Source organism: Homo sapiens, chromosome 2 (genome assembly GCF_000001405.40).
Source record: "Homo sapiens chromosome 2, GRCh38.p14 Primary Assembly".
In the NCBI taxonomy this organism is placed as follows: domain Eukaryota; kingdom Metazoa; phylum Chordata; class Mammalia; order Primates; family Hominidae; genus Homo; species Homo sapiens.
This window is the reverse complement of record NC_000002.12, coordinates 154,929,831-154,948,612: the sequence shown is the minus strand read 5'-3', so window position 1 is coordinate 154,948,612 and position 18,782 is coordinate 154,929,831. Positions and strand designations below refer to the sequence as shown.

The 18,782-nt window shown below is 32.6% G+C and overlaps 1 pseudogene, besides 1 other annotated feature; it reads left to right on the top strand.

Moving 5' to 3' along the window:
- Nucleotides 2,108-2,826: an enhancer, noted in NCBI's record as "OCT4-NANOG hESC enhancer chr2:155802299-155803017 (GRCh37/hg19 assembly coordinates)". NCBI's record gives its function as "activates a minimal SCP1, AML or CMV promoter by ChIP-STARR-seq in primed H9 embryonic stem cells {active_cell/tissue: H9 hESC(primed)}" and the evidence as "EXISTENCE:reporter gene assay evidence [ECO:0000049][PMID:30033119]".
- Nucleotides 7,499-8,272, top strand: CBX3P6 (CBX3 pseudogene 6; annotated as a pseudogene).
- Nucleotides 8,273-18,782: the final 10,510 nt, after the last annotated feature.

Below are 18,782 nucleotides of genomic sequence, written 5' to 3'. Positions count from 1 at the left end.
TGAATCTGGCTAAGTATTAAATCATAGGTAATGTAACACCCTGAATAATGACTCTTCCCATTTGTTGTCTGCAGTTAGATTCATAGCCAGCCCACTGAATATGAATTGGGTATTCATCTTATATAGCAATGTGAGAAAATAGTTAATTTAAGTAAATAACAGCAAGAAGGATGTAAATACTAACACACTAAGCACTATTTTAAAATATTTTATATACATCAATTAGTTTAATTATATAATAACCCCACATGGTAGATACTTTTCTATGCTCATTTTGTGGATGAATCACACAGAACATAAATAGTTGTTCCAAGGTTACGTAACTATTAAGTGCTATAGCTAGAATTAGAATCCCTGCAGTTTAATTAAGGATCCCAGTGTTTACACTGACCTATGATTATTAATTCTAACTTGAAACACATTTTCCTTTAAATAATTAATGACAGTTGATTTTTAAAAATTGTTTAATTTAAACATAATTTTACCTATGTCAGAGACTTGCTGAATTTTTTTCAGAGTCTCAGTAACAGAGCAAAATTTTATAGCTGAGACCCATGTTCCATAGTACAACTTCGTATCACAAATGAAATCCTCTAGAATATAGATGGCTACGTCTGTTCACGAGATAGATCCATTTCCAGTTAATAAAATATGTTTTTGTATTGTCATATATCTTCTTGTTAAATATCAAATTACCTTTAATTTTATAAAAGCCATTATAGGCAAATAATAGCTTAAGTTTAAATTACAACGTTAGGGAAAGTTAAAAAACCACAAGATTGGCTGGGCGCGGTAGCTCACGCCTGTAATCCCAGCACTTTGGGAGGCCAAGGTGGGAGGATCACGAGGTCAGGAGATCGAGGCCATCCTGGCTAACACGGTGAAACTCCGTCTCTACTAAAAATACAAAAAAAAAAATTAGCCGGACGTGGTGGCGGGCCCCTGCAGTGCCAGCTACGCTGCGGGAGGCTGAGGCAGGAGAATGGTGCGAGCCTGGGAGGCGGAGCCTGCAGTGAGCCCAGCTCGTGCCACTGCACTCCAGCCTGGCAGACAGAGTGAGACTCCGTTTAAACAAACAAACAAACAAAAAAAGGAACACAAAATTATGGTTACAGATATTTCAGCAAGACGAGTTATTTAAATATTGTCTCTTCTACTTCTGAAATACGTGCCCCTTATGATGTGTATGATTAGATAATTTGAACAGTGAAAATTGGCTATGGAAATGTAGTACTTTCTCACATATGTCAGAATGTAATCACTCATGATTTATAGCAAATTTCTGAGTTTATATGTTTATTTTATATCTAATTATTTTTTGTATTTTTTTTCTTAATTTGTCCATATTTGCTTCTGCAACCCCTTAAAACAGAGTTATAGTGAGAGCTCAGAGCACCTCAAGCAGCTGGTGGAAGAATGGTTCAGGCTGTTTTTTGTTCTCTGATTAGTATAAGATCCCAGGATGAGGAATGAAAATAAATTAGCATTAGACTAAGAGAAATTCTAGGTAAATAAAAACATGCAGTATACCACAACACTGCAACCTGTCTATTGCCTCAGAAAACACAACATAAGAGCTAGAAACAATTCCAAAATGCCAATAAATTGTGAATCTATGATTTGTTAGTTAAAATTACCAATTATATTTTGTACTCAAGAGTCTTACATGCTAAATAATTGTAAATATTGAAGCAAGTAAAGATGCTTTCCCTATGTATATTTGTAGGCATCAAAGAGCACAGAATTACATGTCATTCATCATCATTTAAAACCATTTTAAGTGTTAGATAATTAATGATATTTTTCTCATATTGAAATGTAACATCTGTCTAATTCTAATAGGGCATTAAAATACACAATATGTGTTTAAACTCCATAGTGTTAATTGATCCATAATTAGACTGTGCAAATAGGAAACATGTCACTTGAGATGGATAATAAATTCATATTAGGTGAAATATATGGAAAAAATCCTGTGCTGGTATGAATGATAAAATTTGAAATATTAACGCGACTATGAAGTGTACACCCTCTATCTGCTTTGGTCAAATCACATTATTCCTAGTTTTGACTTTTCCCCTAACTGGGAAAATTAGAATTTCTACTGGTTTAATTTCTCAGTTTGCTAACAGGAGAAATTTGAGAATTTCATGGTAACTTAAATACATACCATAAATGTTTATAGAAACAAAAGTTAATGCTCAATTCAGAAAAAAAATCTGTTTAAAAATACTCTGATAGAAACAAGGACTCTTTTCACAAGCTGACCAATTACACATAATTCTATGGAGATCTGAGAGATAAATGGATTCCCAACTGGAACATTGTTATTCTTATGTTGTATTCCTTAGTTATAAAGTCTGCGTCTCCAGGATTTCAAAAGCTCAGTATTGTAATGATTGTGGATTAAAACTACAGCCATTTGGCATACAGAGAAGTTGTAAGGCATTGCAGGAGGTACTATCAGCAAGATCAGCAGGGGTGAACTTTATTAAAGTGTTTTTGCCACTCCTTGCCTATAAAATTCAAGCTGTTCTTAAACAGTAGTCCTTATGTAGGTTGCCCTCTGGAAGTGGAAATTTTTGCAAAATTTCACAATGCAAGTTTTTTGCTCTGGGCATGTCAATGGGTTAAAAAATAAATAAGTAAAACCTCTTATTGGCTTTAAACATTGTCATATTCTTTCTGTCTACATTTTCCCATTTTTTTCATAACCATGCTGCTACACTTAAATGAAAACAGTTAAATTATAATTTTTAAGAAATGTGTTATTACATTCTGCACTCTTCTCCTGTAGTATGTTTCCTATTCAACAATTTTTTTAAATTGTATCTTACATCTGCTACCTTACATTAGATAACCTTGCTCTGACATAAAGTCTGCTTTTAGGAGATGCTTAAAAAGTGGGATTATAGCACCAGATAATGTATCTTACAAAATCATGGCTTGGACCCAAGTGATTCTCTATTAACTTTTAGATTGATCTGGTTCTTGAAGGCTGTTTGGTTGACTCATGTGTTCATCAGATTGAAGTTTATCACAGATTTCTGGCTTTAGCTTTTTAGATCTTGTCGATTCTCACAGCATTAAGCAAGCAAGCTGTTCCTTAGTGTTGTAAATTTACTGGTGATGCTTTTGGATGTTACTTAATGTGGCATGTGGGAAAAAAATAAGAAAATAGACAACCAGAGACAGAGGACCATTTGTGGCAAAATCATATCTACCTTTGTTCAGTGTCCAGGGAGCATGAGAACAGAGGATCTGATTTGATCTGCATAATCCTACTGAAAAGCATGTCATGGTCAATGATTGATTTTTGAATTTGTAATAGTGAATTTAAAATGAAAAATTGGAATAAAATAATAGTATGAGGCATTTTGATAAAATTAAAAGAATTTTATCATCTCATTTAAATTTCAAGACTTTATAAGAGCTGCAAAGCAAATTACAGATCTACATCTCTCCCAGCCTCACCCCATAAACAGAAAGAAGATGAGACTACAGAATATTAGGAAATACATTGCCATGAACAAGTAGGATTTGAAAGCAGTCTGCTGTCTTATGCACTGAAGCTGAGGACCCACACTTTAACAGAATCTAAATGCCAGAAGAAACATGGACTCAGGTTACTACATTTTTTTTCACTTTCCCAACTTTCATGGTTCAAATATCTTAACCTGTATGCTGGTCAAAGAGCAAGAGCTCTTCCACATTTATTTTCCTATAGTGATTAAACTTATTTATTAGTGCTAGACCATTTTCTGATTTTTCTAATCTTTATTAGGACACCCCCATAATCAAGAAATACTGGAATTTGGTTCAAAGTAATGCTACCCAGATACTGACACATGATCTTTTCCCCTTTGCCCAGCCCAGAATTCTCACCTTTCAAAGTGGATCCTTGAAATTCCTGAAGGCGGCCTGCTTAGAATTTTGTTTTGTTTTATTTTTAGTTTCCTTTTCCTTTTATGACCTCCCAAAACAAAAGAGGTCACCTGTCCTGCTCTGATGTTTCTACTCTTCCTTTTGCCTCCTTTCCCCCAACACACCACTGTTCCACAGATTCCAGTACTCTGTATGGGTGACACCATGCCTGCCTATGGGAGAAGCAGCAATCATAGATACTAGTTAGGATTTTTCTTCTGGGAACTTACTAAATGATCTTATTTTATGTCTTTTTATCAATAAAAATGTAACAGTTAAGATTCTTTATGGGTCTGTTATGCCTGAATATCAAAATAGTATGGATTTTTTAATCTTAGTCTCCCTAAACTAGTTAAGTATTATGCTAACTGACCGTAATAGAAAACCCAACAGTGTTTACACTGTTCTTAAGTGTGAAGATTATACTGAGAATCAGCCCCTTACTTTGGGATAAATGCACCAGTGGTAAGCAGGTAAAAAGTAGTAGGTGGAAGGATTATTGATTCACCATCACAGGGGAACTTTTCATAGTAATACCTGACCTATTTCCATGATTCCTTGAGGCCTGATCCCACTGATCTTTCCTGGAAGAGCGACCTTGGAAAAGATCCCGTGTCAAGTAGACATGGTTGAAAAAGAATTAAGATATCAAATCCATCACTGCCATATTTATTTAGAGAGAGGAACCCTGAACCATGGAGACAGCTAAGCAGAGTTACCGATTTTCATGAATTCCATTTGAAGATGACAGCCTGTGCAAAAATATTGCTTTCATTTGGATCAGAAATGCTCCTGAAATGAAAGTGAAGTTACACAAAAGGAATAAAACTGTAACAGGAAAGAAAATTGAAAGGAGTGGTTATTACAGGACAAGATTTTTTTAACTTATAGAAGTCATACACAGGAGACTGCTGCATGGATACTAAAGAAATAAGGGAGTGTAACTGTTTATGAGAACTAAGGACAGAATCTAGGTTGTAATCATCAGGTGTATGGAGTTTGAAATGAGGGATGAGGGATACAGTAAATTGAACTGTGTCTACTGAGGGACAGTGAGGTTAGACAGAATGAAATTGAACCCTAGCATGCCAGTGATAAACAATGTTTATCTAACAAAATGATAATAAAACTATTCTAAAATTTCAGAGTCAAGATACAAAGTAAGAAAGACTTAGTTATGATTGAGGATGTAATATAATATTAATTACCTTGACAATGTAAAATTAAAATAAATAGGAATAGCATATGGAAAGGGGGAAGAAAAGAGAAATAATTTTAGAGGCACTATTATTCTTATATTTACAAACAAAGAGTCAACAAATATTTTTTAAAGTGGCTAAAACAATAAAAAATTGGATTATAATATTTAAAGTTACTTAAGAATCAATATCAATAAAACCATAATAATCAAGCATTGAGAAAATTAGTGGACAAGAAAGTAGGAGATATAAAATGAGCTAAACTTTTAGTTTTTTAAGATACAGCCAGTAAGTACTGCCTGAAGTTGATAAATAAAGAAAATGTGGTAAAATATTATCTATAATGATGGAGGAAATCACCAGGAAAAACGGAAACAGAAAGAATGTTAGAATGTTCCCTCGGGATAGAAATATTAGAGTTGGAAAGGGTGGTAAAGGCAAATTTTTAACCATAAACTCTTCTATACTATTGGCTGATATTATGTTTTATGACAGGCTAACAAAAGAAAGTTTATTTAAATTCTAAATGTAAATGTGGTTCTAACAGTTGTTCTTTCTTTATTCGAACACAGTTTTCTCAGGTTGAAATGAGATAGGATCATGCCTGTTACACAACAAGTGCTTGATGAAATAAATCATTATTATTGTTATTCTGCTTATTAACATCACTTTCCTTGGGTGGCAGGGTAGTTGGTAGGGAAGGAAAGTCAATATTCAGTTATAAAGCATGTGGTTACATAACCACATTTTCTTGACTGCTAAACTGGAACTCATTTCTAGAAAGTAAATCCAACAAACAAGAAACCCAAGATCTGGAAAGTCACATTCCCATTGTCTTGTGTAAAACTTTGAAATAATCTAAGCAGCTTGTTTTGGGATTTCTATCCCTAACATTAACATCATCACAGAATTTTGGGTTTCTCCAGACAGAAATTTGAGCTGAAAGTCAGCATTAACACAGAGGTTATAGAGTTATCGCACCCTCATTCATGTCTTCTGTTTAGCATGGTGAGGATTCAAGCCATTCTGATTCATTTTTTTTTTAATTTGTATGCAACCTACTAACAGGAAATGATGTTCTGCATATTGCTTCAAATTTTAACTTGAAGTAGTTTTCATTTATTAAAAAAAACTTGTGGTTTTTAATACATTGTTCTATTTAAGTGTAGGAGGTTTTCATTGGAGATGACATTAATTATAAGTAAAGTTAATTTAACAGATGGGTGATAATGAGATACTTGAATCATCAACTGAGAGAAAAATACAAACTTAGAAGAGAATGACAATCACTGTTCACTGGTCATTTGTAGGCTATGTATCCAATATTTTAAATTATCATATTTAGAATTATATTACCTATTATATTGGGTAGAACATGTGTATCATAAATATGAGTTATGCTTATACCAAAACACATAATTTTGGTGATGCCAAAATAATATACCTATAAAAGAACATTGCTTATAAATGGACTAAAAGTAAAGGCTACAATTCTATTTTTAAAGCATCCTGCATTAAGTTCTGTATTTACATTTAAATTCAGCACCATAAAATCATGTTTCTGTAAAACCTGAAGTGGTTGCATGCATTTCTTTAAATGTTGTATAAATATGTAGCGTATCACATAATAAACTATATGCCTAAAATATGTAATTGTTGTAAATTCTGATGCAATAATATTTAATAGGTTTTAAAGGAAATTAAAGACATTATGAGGATAAAGATAAAGAGTGATTTAGTGGAATAAGTGACTCTACATATACATTGATAGATTCATACTTTTCAATATGTTAAGCCACCATTGCTGTTTCCCAGCATGTTTGAAAGGTAAGGGACATGTTGATGGCACAGCTTTCATTCTCTAAACACAGAAGAGTCTCCTCTGGAAGGGACTATAGTGAGTACATTCAAAGCCTTTCATTAAACAGACATTGATGACTCCATCAGTGTTCAGGTATATCAACATATTTTGCTATAAGGGATTCCTTTACTTATCATTAGTCAACTGGAATAAGATATTTAAACATGAATGACATGAGTGAACATATGCCTAAGGGTTTTCAATTATTTATGAATATACTTAATTTTGTCTCAATATTTTCATAATGACTTAGACACACACACCTTAATCATGAATTCTGGACTACATATCTTGATAATTATGTCCTAGCCAGGCATTACTAATTTTAATGCCAGTGTTTCAGTTCAGGATTGATTTAAAATCAGACAAAACAGTTTATTTTGCCTGGACTGTCTAGAAAATAATTCGGAGAGACTTAACTCCTAAGTTTTACATTCATGCCAAGTGAAATTCAAATGTTTTCCACAGTGCTGTATAAGAACATATGTATGTGAGGCGTGCAGGGCCAGAAACTGGAGCAGCTCAGAGGCAGTGAATAGCTCTTCAAGCCTGCAATAAAAAATGACCTCCAATAAAACTACATTGCAAAAAAAATGGGAAAGTAACAGAATGGGAAATGTAGAAAAGTCAAAGAGGCAGAGACTGAAGAATTTGTGGTGGAAGTAGCAAATAGGAAGCTGGAGTATTTCCCAGAGTGGAAGGGATTTACAAATGCTGACAGTACTTGGGAACCAGAAGACTACTTAGAATGTCAAGAGTTAATTGAAACATTTCTTAACTCTCAAAAAGCTGGCAAAGAAAAAGATGATACAAAAAGGAAATGTTTATCTGACAGTGAATCTGATGATAGCAAGTCAAAGAAAAGAGATGCTGCTGACAAACCAAGAGGCTTCGCCAGAGGTCATGATCCAGAAAGAAAAATTGCCACAGAGAGAAGTGGTGAATGGATATTTCTCCTGGAATGGGAATATTCAGATAAGGCAGACTTGCTGCAGGCAAAAGAGACAAACATGAGGAGTCATCAAATTGTAATTGCTTCTTATGAAGAGCGATTGCCTTGACATTCTTGACGAGAAGATGAAGCTCAACAATTGTTTGCATTGCATTTTACATATGTATGATATATATATATATATATATATATATATATATATATATAATCTGGATCTTGGTTTTTTTAATTTACTAATGTGAAGAAATCTCTACATTCTAATGAAAACCAAGTTTGATATGTTTGTTTTCAAAGTAGTATTGGGAGATTTGCCAGGAGATTTTTTTTTTTTTGCATCAATCACATTGGTTAATTTCAACAAATAAACGAAACTTTCTGTAGTTGCTTTCTTTATCAGAAAAGAACATTTGATACCATGGCATATTTTGTCCTCTGCACTAGAGAACAGCGTTGTTAATGTTGAGGGAAACTTCCTTAGTCATTATACAATCAGTACTTGTGTTTAATTCGTATGCCTAAGAACCATTCTGAGTTTTATGTTTTGTGTGTTTATGCTTAAAATACAAATGTAAATGGTTTTCTTTCTTGGTTTATTTTTAAACTTTCATCAAAACAAAAACCATGGGTATGCCCATGGTCCTGGGATGCCATAATTCTGTGCAACCTAAGAAATAAATCACTTCAAGTTAAATTGAAATTTTTCCTGAAGTCGTAATATTTCAAATTACATAGATGATTCTATAATTAACTGGATAATTTAAAAGCATCCACATCAGAACACACATTTCTACCTATATTCATATAAATGTGATTCTTTGTTTTCCAAATTTCTAAACGGAAGATTTTTTATTACTACCAACAACCTCCTCACTTAGACAAGGAAACTAGACAAATCTTGCTGTTTTAATTGGCTAAGCAAGTGTTAGTCAAATAGACATATTTAAAGATTCCTCTAATAAGCCTTTCCTTTAGAAAAAGCTGTAATCCTTGTGCTGTATTGATTAAAACATCATGATTTGTGGAATGTCTCAGTCTTGGCTCATGGAAAACTAATCAGATAAGTTTAGAAAAGGCAGTTAGGACCTGCTGGCATAAATGGGTAAAGAGACGTGTATAATGTAAACAATTGACCTGCATGTGTTTTCCTTTACCCAACTCATTCCTTACATGTAGGCTCATTTTTTTCAGTATTTGGGTTACTGGTTTAGCAGAAGCCAAGAAAATCAAGGAAAACAATACTTTTGTAATAATCAGGATGTTATCCAGCTGTATATTCTTTATTTTAAATACTGGTGTACAGTAGTCAATAAATAGCTTCACATTCCTTTATGTATATAAATATATAATATGAATATATATTATTCATATATATAAATAATATGAATATATATTATTTATATATATAAATAATATGAATATATATTATTTATATATATAAATAATATGAATATATATTATTTATATATATAAATATATAATATGAATATATATATTTATATATAATATGAATATTATATATTTATATATAAATATATATGAATATATATACAAATATATAATATGAATATATATTTATATACAAATATATAATATGAATATATATATTTATATATAAATATATAATATGAATATACATTATTTATATATAAATATATAATATGAATATACATTATTTATATATAAATATATAATATGAATATATATATTATTTATATATAAATATATAATATGAATATATATATTATATATAAATATATAATATGAATATATATATTATATATAAATATATATATGAATATATATATTTATATATAAATATAATATGAATATATATATTTTATATAAATATATAATATGAATATATATTTATATATAAATATATAATATGAATATATATTTATATATAAATATATAATATGAATATATATTTATATATAAATATATAATATGAATATACATTATTTATATATAAATATATAATATGAATATACATTATTTATATATAAATATATAATATGAATATATAGAATATATAAATATATAATATGAATATATATATTATATATAAATATATAATATGAATATATATTATTTTTATATAAATATATAATATGAATATATATTATTTATATATAAGTATATAATATGAATATATATTATTTATATATAAGTATATAATATGAATATATATTATTTATATATAAATATATAATATGAATATATATTATTTATATATAAATATATAATATGAATATATATATTATTTATATATAAATATATTATATATTTATATATAAATATATAATATGAATATATATATTATATATAAATATATTATATATTTATATATAAATATATTATATATTTATATATAAATATATAATATGAATATATATATTATTTATATAGAAATATATAATATGAATATATATATTATTTATACATAAATATATTATATATTTATATATAAATATATAATATGAATATATATTATTTATATATAAATATATAATATGAATGTATATTATTTATATATAAATATATAATATGAATACATATTTATATATTATAATTTTTACAATATATGTATATATAATAAATATATAATTTTTAATTGAACTGAATATACATATAAAAATTTTAGTTTTTATATGAACATATGAATACATATATTCAGTTCAATTAAAATTGTTTAAAATTTCTTGGATATAACACTAAAATCATATGTAAAAAATGTTAAAATTGAAAAAATTAGACCATCAAAATCTAATGTCTCAAAATTTAAAACATTTGTGCATTAGCTCATAAGCAACAGAATAAAAAAGCAACCCACATAGTATAATAAAATATTTGCAAATGATATATGTGATAAGGGATTAATATCCACAATATATTTTAAAACTCTTACAACTCAGTAGTAACAAAAAAAAAAACTGATTTAAAACTGGCCTAAAGGATGGATAGACATTTCTCCAAAGAAGAAGATAGACAAATGAGCAACCAGTACATGAAAATGTGCTTACCATCAGTAGGGATTTGCCTTAGGGATATGCAAATCAAGTCCATGAGAATGGCTAAGATAGATTTTTAAAAACACACACATACACACAAAAACAAGATAAAATAACAAGTGTTGGCAAAGATGTAAGTAAGTTGGAACCCTTGTGCATTGCTGGTGGGAATCTAAAATGGGGCAGCCACTGTGGAAAATGGAATGGTTGTTCACCAAAAAATTAAACATAAAATTACCATGTGATCTAGCAATACCATATCTGAACATAAACCCAAAAGAATTGAAAGCAGGGGTGGGCCAGAGATTTGTATACCAATGATCATAGAAGCATTATTCACAGTAACCAAAACGGAGAAGCAATCCTAGAGTCCATCAGTGGATGAATAAATAAATGAAATGTGGTATGTACAGACAATGAAATATTATTCAGCCTGAAAAAGGAAGACAGTTCTAACACATGCCTCAATATGGATGAAGTTTGAAGATATCACATGAAGTAAAATAAACGAGTAACAAAGGAAAAAAATGTTGCAGGATTCCATTTATTTGAGCTGCCTAGAATAGACAGATTCATGAAGACATAAAGTAGAACGATGATGGCCAGAAGCTGGGGGAAGCTGGCTTGGCAAGTTATTGTTTAATGTGTATGAAACTTCAGTTTGGGAAGATAAAAACGTTCTGGAGATGGGTAGTGGTGATGGTTGCACTACAGTGTGAATTTACTTAATGTCACTGAAACTGACACTTGAAAATTGTTAAAATGTTAAATTTTATGTTATATATGTTTTACTACCATTTTAGAAGTTTTAAAACTATTTAGTGTCTACAGAGTGTAAGCATCAGATCAAAGGAAATCTTCTGAAAGAATTAATTCAGAAAATATAACATGGTAACTATTGGGGCAAAATTTGTCATTGACCATGAAACCCATGAATATTATAGTTATAACAAAAGTAAAACGTTTTGCAGAACACATATGAAGAGTTGAAATTCACCCTCTCAGAGGCTATTCTTATCTTAAAATGCTATGCATTTCTTGCCATAAAAGCCACTACAACTGAGCAAAAGCTCTTCTAAGTGCATCATTCAAAAGACAAATTTCAGACAGAAAGGCATAGGAAATGCATAACCTAGTACAGGTATTTGTTTCTCTCAGAACTCCAAATTTTCAGAATGATTTTCTTGTGTCTTTTCTCTCTCCTGGGACTCAGCAGAGAGATGAGACAAAGTTAAAGCATAGTAATCAGCTACCTTTCTTCTCTAATATATTCTTACAAACCTCCTTAAACAAATGACTGAACTTGACATCGCTTATCTAAACAATGGAGAACTATATTTTTGACACAAACTTTATTGAAATACAAGATGCATTTTATAAATTAAATCCATTTTTGTGTACAGTTCAATAATTTTGTCAAATGCACACATAATTTAATCTCTAACATAAACAAGATAGAGAAGATTCCTATCACCTTGGAATGTTCTCTTATATCCCTGTTCAATCAATCTTAATACCCACCTGTGGCCCAGGCAACTCCCTATCTGCTTTCTATAACTATGCATTTTATTTTTCTAATGTTTTATGCAGATGAAATTGTACAACATGTGGTCTTTTTCTTCTGAGCCCCAAAATGTAAAGAACTTTCCGGAAGAAGAAGAAATGGGGCAGAAGAAGAAGTCAGAGAGATTTGAGCACCAGAAGGACTTGACATGCTATTGCTGGTTTGAAGATGAAGAGGGCAATATAACAGCAATGCAGCTCTGGCATTAAGTGCTGAGAGAGGCTCCCTGCTGACAGACAGCAAGGAAATAAAGACCACAGTCCCACTGCCACAAGAAACTGATTTCTGCAAACAACATGGAACAGCTTAGATGAAATTTCTCCCCAGATAATAACCCAGGTGAGCCAATACATTAATTTTGGCCATGTAAAACCTACAGAAGAGGAACCAGTGAAATTTACTCTGATTTCTGTCCTACAGAACTTAATGTGAATGGCTTTAAGCCACTACATTTATAGTATTTTGTTACAGCAGTGACAGAAAACTAGTGTAACATATAAACACAAAGAAGGGAAATAATGATATCTGTATAAATAATTAAAATATAAAAATTGACCAAGATGGCCAACTAGACACAGCCAGGAAGAGCATCTACCACTGTGAGAAAATACCTTCAATAAACCAGCACACTCTGTGCAGATCTTTGGAGGGAAGGCATTGAGAGCAGACAGAGGGAGGATGCAGACCCTAGGCTGAAGGGGGAGAAAAGCTGGGAACCCTGCATAGGGTTGCCAAGCACCAGGACTCATTCCCGGCCCCCAGTGGCTCCTAGGGAAGGGTTGAGTTAAATAGTCAAGGAATGGCCCACTGTTACCACAGAGCTCCAGAATTCTAGCTGCAAGAGACCCCTCAATCCTCATGGACATTTGAGCTGGCAGGGAAAGATGCTTAGAGAGGTGGCAGAGACAGAACTCAGGCTGTGTGAATTTGGACAGAGCAGAGCTTTCTTGCCTGTGAGATTGTGCCAGTCTGTTCTGAGTGACCCCAGTCTGTATGCCTCTCCCTAGTTCCTAGCTGGGTGTGCTCACTTGCAGCTCAGCCTCAGATGCCCAGTTAGGGTGCTTTCCAGCTGCTACTACCATAGCTCATTCACTGACTGATCCCCAACTAACTGCTGGAAAGGTTCATGCCCCCCTAGCATGAACTTGACCCAAGACATAGTCATCAGATTCTCCAAGGTCAACACAAAAGAAAAACTATTAAAGGATGCTAGAGAGAAGGGGCAGGTTATCTACAAACCTTATTAGGCTAACAGAAGACCTTTTAGCATAAACCCTGCAAGTCAGAAGAGATTGAGGATCTACATTCAGCATTCTTAAAGAAAATAAATTCCAACTATGAATTTCATTTCCAGCTAAGCTAAGCTTCAGAAGCAAAATATAAATAAAATTCTTTTCAGTGCAGGAAATGCTAGGGGAATTTGTTACCAATAGACCTACCTTACAAAAGGTGATTCAGGAAGTGCTAAACATGGAAATGAAAGGCCATTATCGGCCATCACAAAAACACACTTAAGTACACAGACCATTGACACTACAAAGCAACTACACAATCAGGTCTACATAATAATCAGCTAACAACACAATGACAGGATCAAATTTTCACATATCAATATTAACCTTGAAAATAAAGGTGCTAACTGCCCCTAATTAAAAGACACAAGGTAGCAAGCTGGATAAAGAAGCAAATCCAACTGTGTGCTGTCTTCAAGAGACCTATTTCACATGCAATGATGTCTACAGGCTCAAAGTAAAGGGATGGAGAAAAATCTACCAAACACACAGAAAACAAAAACAAACAAAAAAAGAAGGGAATGCCATTGTTATTAAAGACAAAACAGACTTTAAACCAACAATGATCCAAAAATACAAAAAAGAACATTATATAATGATAAAGGTTAAATTCAACAAGAAGACTTAACTATCCTAAATATATTTGCAGTCAACATTGAAGCACCAAGATTCATTAAAAGCATTTTAGAGACTTAAGAAGAAGCTTAGCTAATTACACAATAATAGTTGGACACTTCAACACCCCACTGACAGTATTAGACAAATCAAAAAGGAAGAATAATAACAAAGACATTCAGGATGTAAAGTTAACAGTTGACCAAATGGACCTAACAGACAGCTACAGCTATAGAACCTAACAGACAGCTACAAGAAAGATAAAATATACATTCTTCTGACCTGCAGATGGCAAATATTATAAATCAAACACATACTCAGACATAAAGCAATTGTTAACAAAATTAAAAAAAAAAAACAAATCATACCAAATACATGCTTGGACCACAGTGCAGTAAAAATAAAAATCTGTACTAGAAGATCTCTCAAAAACATAAAATTACATGGAAAGTAAGCAACCTGTTTCTGCATTACTTTTGAGTAAACAATAAAATTAAGGCTGAAATCAAAACATTATTTGAAACTAATAAGAAGAAAGATAGAACCTACCAGAATCTCTCGTACACAACTAAAGTGGTGCTAAAAGTGAAGTTTTTTGGTGCTAATTGCCTGTATCAAAAAGTTAGAAAGCTCTCAACAACCTAGCACCATACCTAGAGGAGCCAGAAAACCAAGAGCAAATCAGTCCTACAGCTGGCAGAAGAAAAGAAATAACCAAAATCAGAGCTGAACTGAACAAAATTCAGATACAAAAAATCATACAAAAGATCAACAAAATCAAAAGTTAGTTTTTTAAGATCGACAGACCACTAGCTAGATTAATTAAAAAAAAAGAGAGAGAAGATCCAAATGAATACAATCAGAAGTGACGAACGAGACATGATCACTACCCCCACAGAAATACAAAAATCCCTTAGACACTATTACAAATATTCCCATGCACACAAACAATAATCCTAAAAGAAATGGACAAACCCCTAGAAACATACAACCTCCCAAGTTTGACCCGGAAAACAATTGAAATCCTAAAAAGACAAATAATGAGTTCCCAAATTGCATCAGCAATTAAAAAAAAAAAAAAACTTACCAACAAGAAAACACTAGACCAGATAGATTCATAGCAGGTTCAAGTTCTACCAGATATGTAGAGGAGAGATGAGACCAATCCTATTGAAAATATTACAAAAAATTGAGGAGGAGGGATTCTTCCTCATTTTATGAGGCCAGCATCATCGTAATACCAAAACCTGGCAGAGACACAACTAAAAAAGAAAATTTCAAGCAAATATTCCTGATGCATGCAAACGTTGTCAACAAAATACTAGCAAATTGAATCCAGTTCCACACCAAAAAGCTAATCCACCATGATCAAATAGGCTTTACTCCTGGGATGGAAGCATCCTTTGTGTTCAACATATGCAAATTAATAAACGTGATTCATTACATAAATAAAACTAAAAGCAAAAACCACATGATATCTCAATAGAAGCAGAAAAGGCTTTGATAAAAGTCCATACCCCTTCTTGTTAAAAAAAAAAAAAGCCCTCAACAAACTAGGCATTGAAGGAATATACCTCAAAATAATAGGAGCCATCTATAACAAATTCATAGCAAACATCATATGGAACAGGCAAAAGCTGGCAGCATTCCCCTTGAGAAACAGAACAACACAAGGTAGCCCACTTTCCCCACTCCTATTTAACACAGTATTGGAAATCCCAACCAGAGAAATCAGACAAGATAAAAGAAATAAAAGGCATCCAAATAGGAAGAGAGGAAGTCAAACTCTCTCTCTTTCAAGATGATATGATTTCATACCTAGAAAACCCCATACTCTCGGCCCAAAGCCTCATAGATATGATAAATAACTGCAGTGAAGTTTCAAGGTACAAAATCAGTTTTCAAAAATCAGTAGCATTTCTACACACCAATAACATCCAAGCTGAGAGCCATATCAAGAATGCAATCCCATTCATAAGAGCCACAAAAATAACAAAATAACTAGAAATACAGCTAACCAGAGAGGTAAAAAATCTCTACAAGAATAATTACAAAACAGTGCTGAAAGCAGGCAGAGACAACACCATCAAATAGAAAACATTCCATGCTCGTGGATGAGAATAATCAATATTGTTAAAATGGCAATAATCCCCAAAGAGATCCTATCAAACTACCAAATACATTTTTCACAAAACTAGAAAAAAACTATCTTAAAATTCATTTGAAACCAAAAAAGCCCAAATAGCCAAAGAATTCCTAAGTAAAAAGAACAAAGCTGGAGGCATCACAGTACCCAAATTCAAACTACACAAGGCTACCGTAACAAAGACAGCATGGTACTGGTGCAAAACAGACACACAGACCAATGTAACAGGTTAGAGAGCCCAGAAAAAAAGCTGCCCACCTACATCCATCTGATCTTCAATGGCGAGTGAGCATTACTGCCTGAGCTCCACCTCATGTAAGATCAGTGGCAGCATTAGATTCTCATTGGAGCTCGGACCCTATTGTGAACTGTACATGCATGGTATCTAAATTGTGTGCTCCTTATGAGACTCTAATTCCTAATGATCTGAGGTGGAACAGTTTTATCCTGAAACCAACCCTACCCCCTATAAACCATGGAAAAATTGTCTTCCATGAAAGCAGCCCCTGGTGCCAAATAAGTTGAGGACCACCAACCTACAGAATGAGAGAATATATTTGCAAACTATGCATCAGACAAAGTTCTAATATTCAGAATTTATAAGGAATTTAAACAACATAGCAAGCAAAAACCAAAAAATCCCATTTAAAAAATGGGCGAAGACATGAAGTGTTACTTCAAAGGAAGACATGCATGTGGCCAACAATCATATGAAAAAATGCTCAACATCATTCATCATTAAAGGAATGCAAATAAAAACCACACCACACCAGTCAGAATGGCTATTACTAAAAATAAAAATAACAGAAGGTGGCAAGGTTGCAGAAAAAAGGGGACATGTCTATGCTGCTAGTCGAAATGTAAATTAGTTCAGCCCCTGTGGAAAGCATTGTGGCAGTTTCTCAAAGAACTTAAAGCAGAACTACCATCCAACTAAGCAATCCTATTATTGGGTATATACCTCCCAAGACATAAATTATTTTACCATTAATTTGCTTAGGATAATGGCCTCCTAAGACACATGCATGTGTATGTTCATCATAGCACTACTCACAATAGCAAAGACATAGAATCAACTTAGACGCCCATCAATTGTGAAGTGGATTAAAAAAATGTGGTACATATACACCATGGAATACTAACCAACAATAAAAAAGAACAAAATCATCTCCTTTGCAGCATCATGGATGGAACTGGAGGCCATTAACCTAAGCAAATTAATGCAAGAACCAAAAACCAAATACTGCATGTTCTTACTTATAAGTGGGAGCTAAACACTGAGTACACATGGACATGAGGAAGGGAACAATAGACATCAGGGCCTACTTGAAGGTGGAGGATGGTAGGAGGGTAAGGATCTAAAAACTACAAATTGAGTACTATACTCATTACCTAGGTGACAAAAAAAATCTGTATACAAAACCCCCGTGACATGAAATTTACCATGTAGCAAACCTGCACATGTACCCCCGAACCTAAAAGTTGGGGAAAAAAATAGAAAAATTTGAAAATCGTGATAATGATGGGTAAATCAGGAACAATCCTCCTTAAAAACACTCATGAGAGAGAAACATTTATGGTAAAACTGATTAAGAAAACAAGAAACCTAAATTATTTTAGAGGGATAACAATGGGAAAGAGTTTCCATACTGGATATCTAAATTTTTTCAATATTATTTATTTAAAGTAGGATGATTTTGGTGTAAGAACAGAAGAGAGACTGTAAATAAGTCCACACATATCAAGTATCTTGATTTATGACAAAAAACAAAATCTCTGCAAATCAACAAGGAAAGAATGTTCTTTACAAAAGAATGGTGTGTGGTGCTCAGTCAATTAAATATCCATTAAAAAATCCTGTGTCCATTACCTCAAATCATACCTAAAAATTAATTTGAGATGAATTTTGAACTAAATGTAAAGGTAAAACGATTAGGAGCTAGAAGAAAGCCTAGTGCAACAAAACACACTCATGACCTTGAGATAGCAACATTTAAAACAAAAAACAAACAACAGCAACAAAAAAACACGGGTAGTATCAACCATAAAGGGAAAACAGGCTGGGCGCGGTGGCTCACACCTGTGATCCCAGCACTTTGGGAGGCCGAGGCGGGCGGATCACGAGGTCAGGAGATCAAGACCATCCTGGCTAACGTGGTGAAACCCCGTCCCTACTAAAAATACAAAAATTAACTGGGCGTGGTGGTGGGTGCCTGTA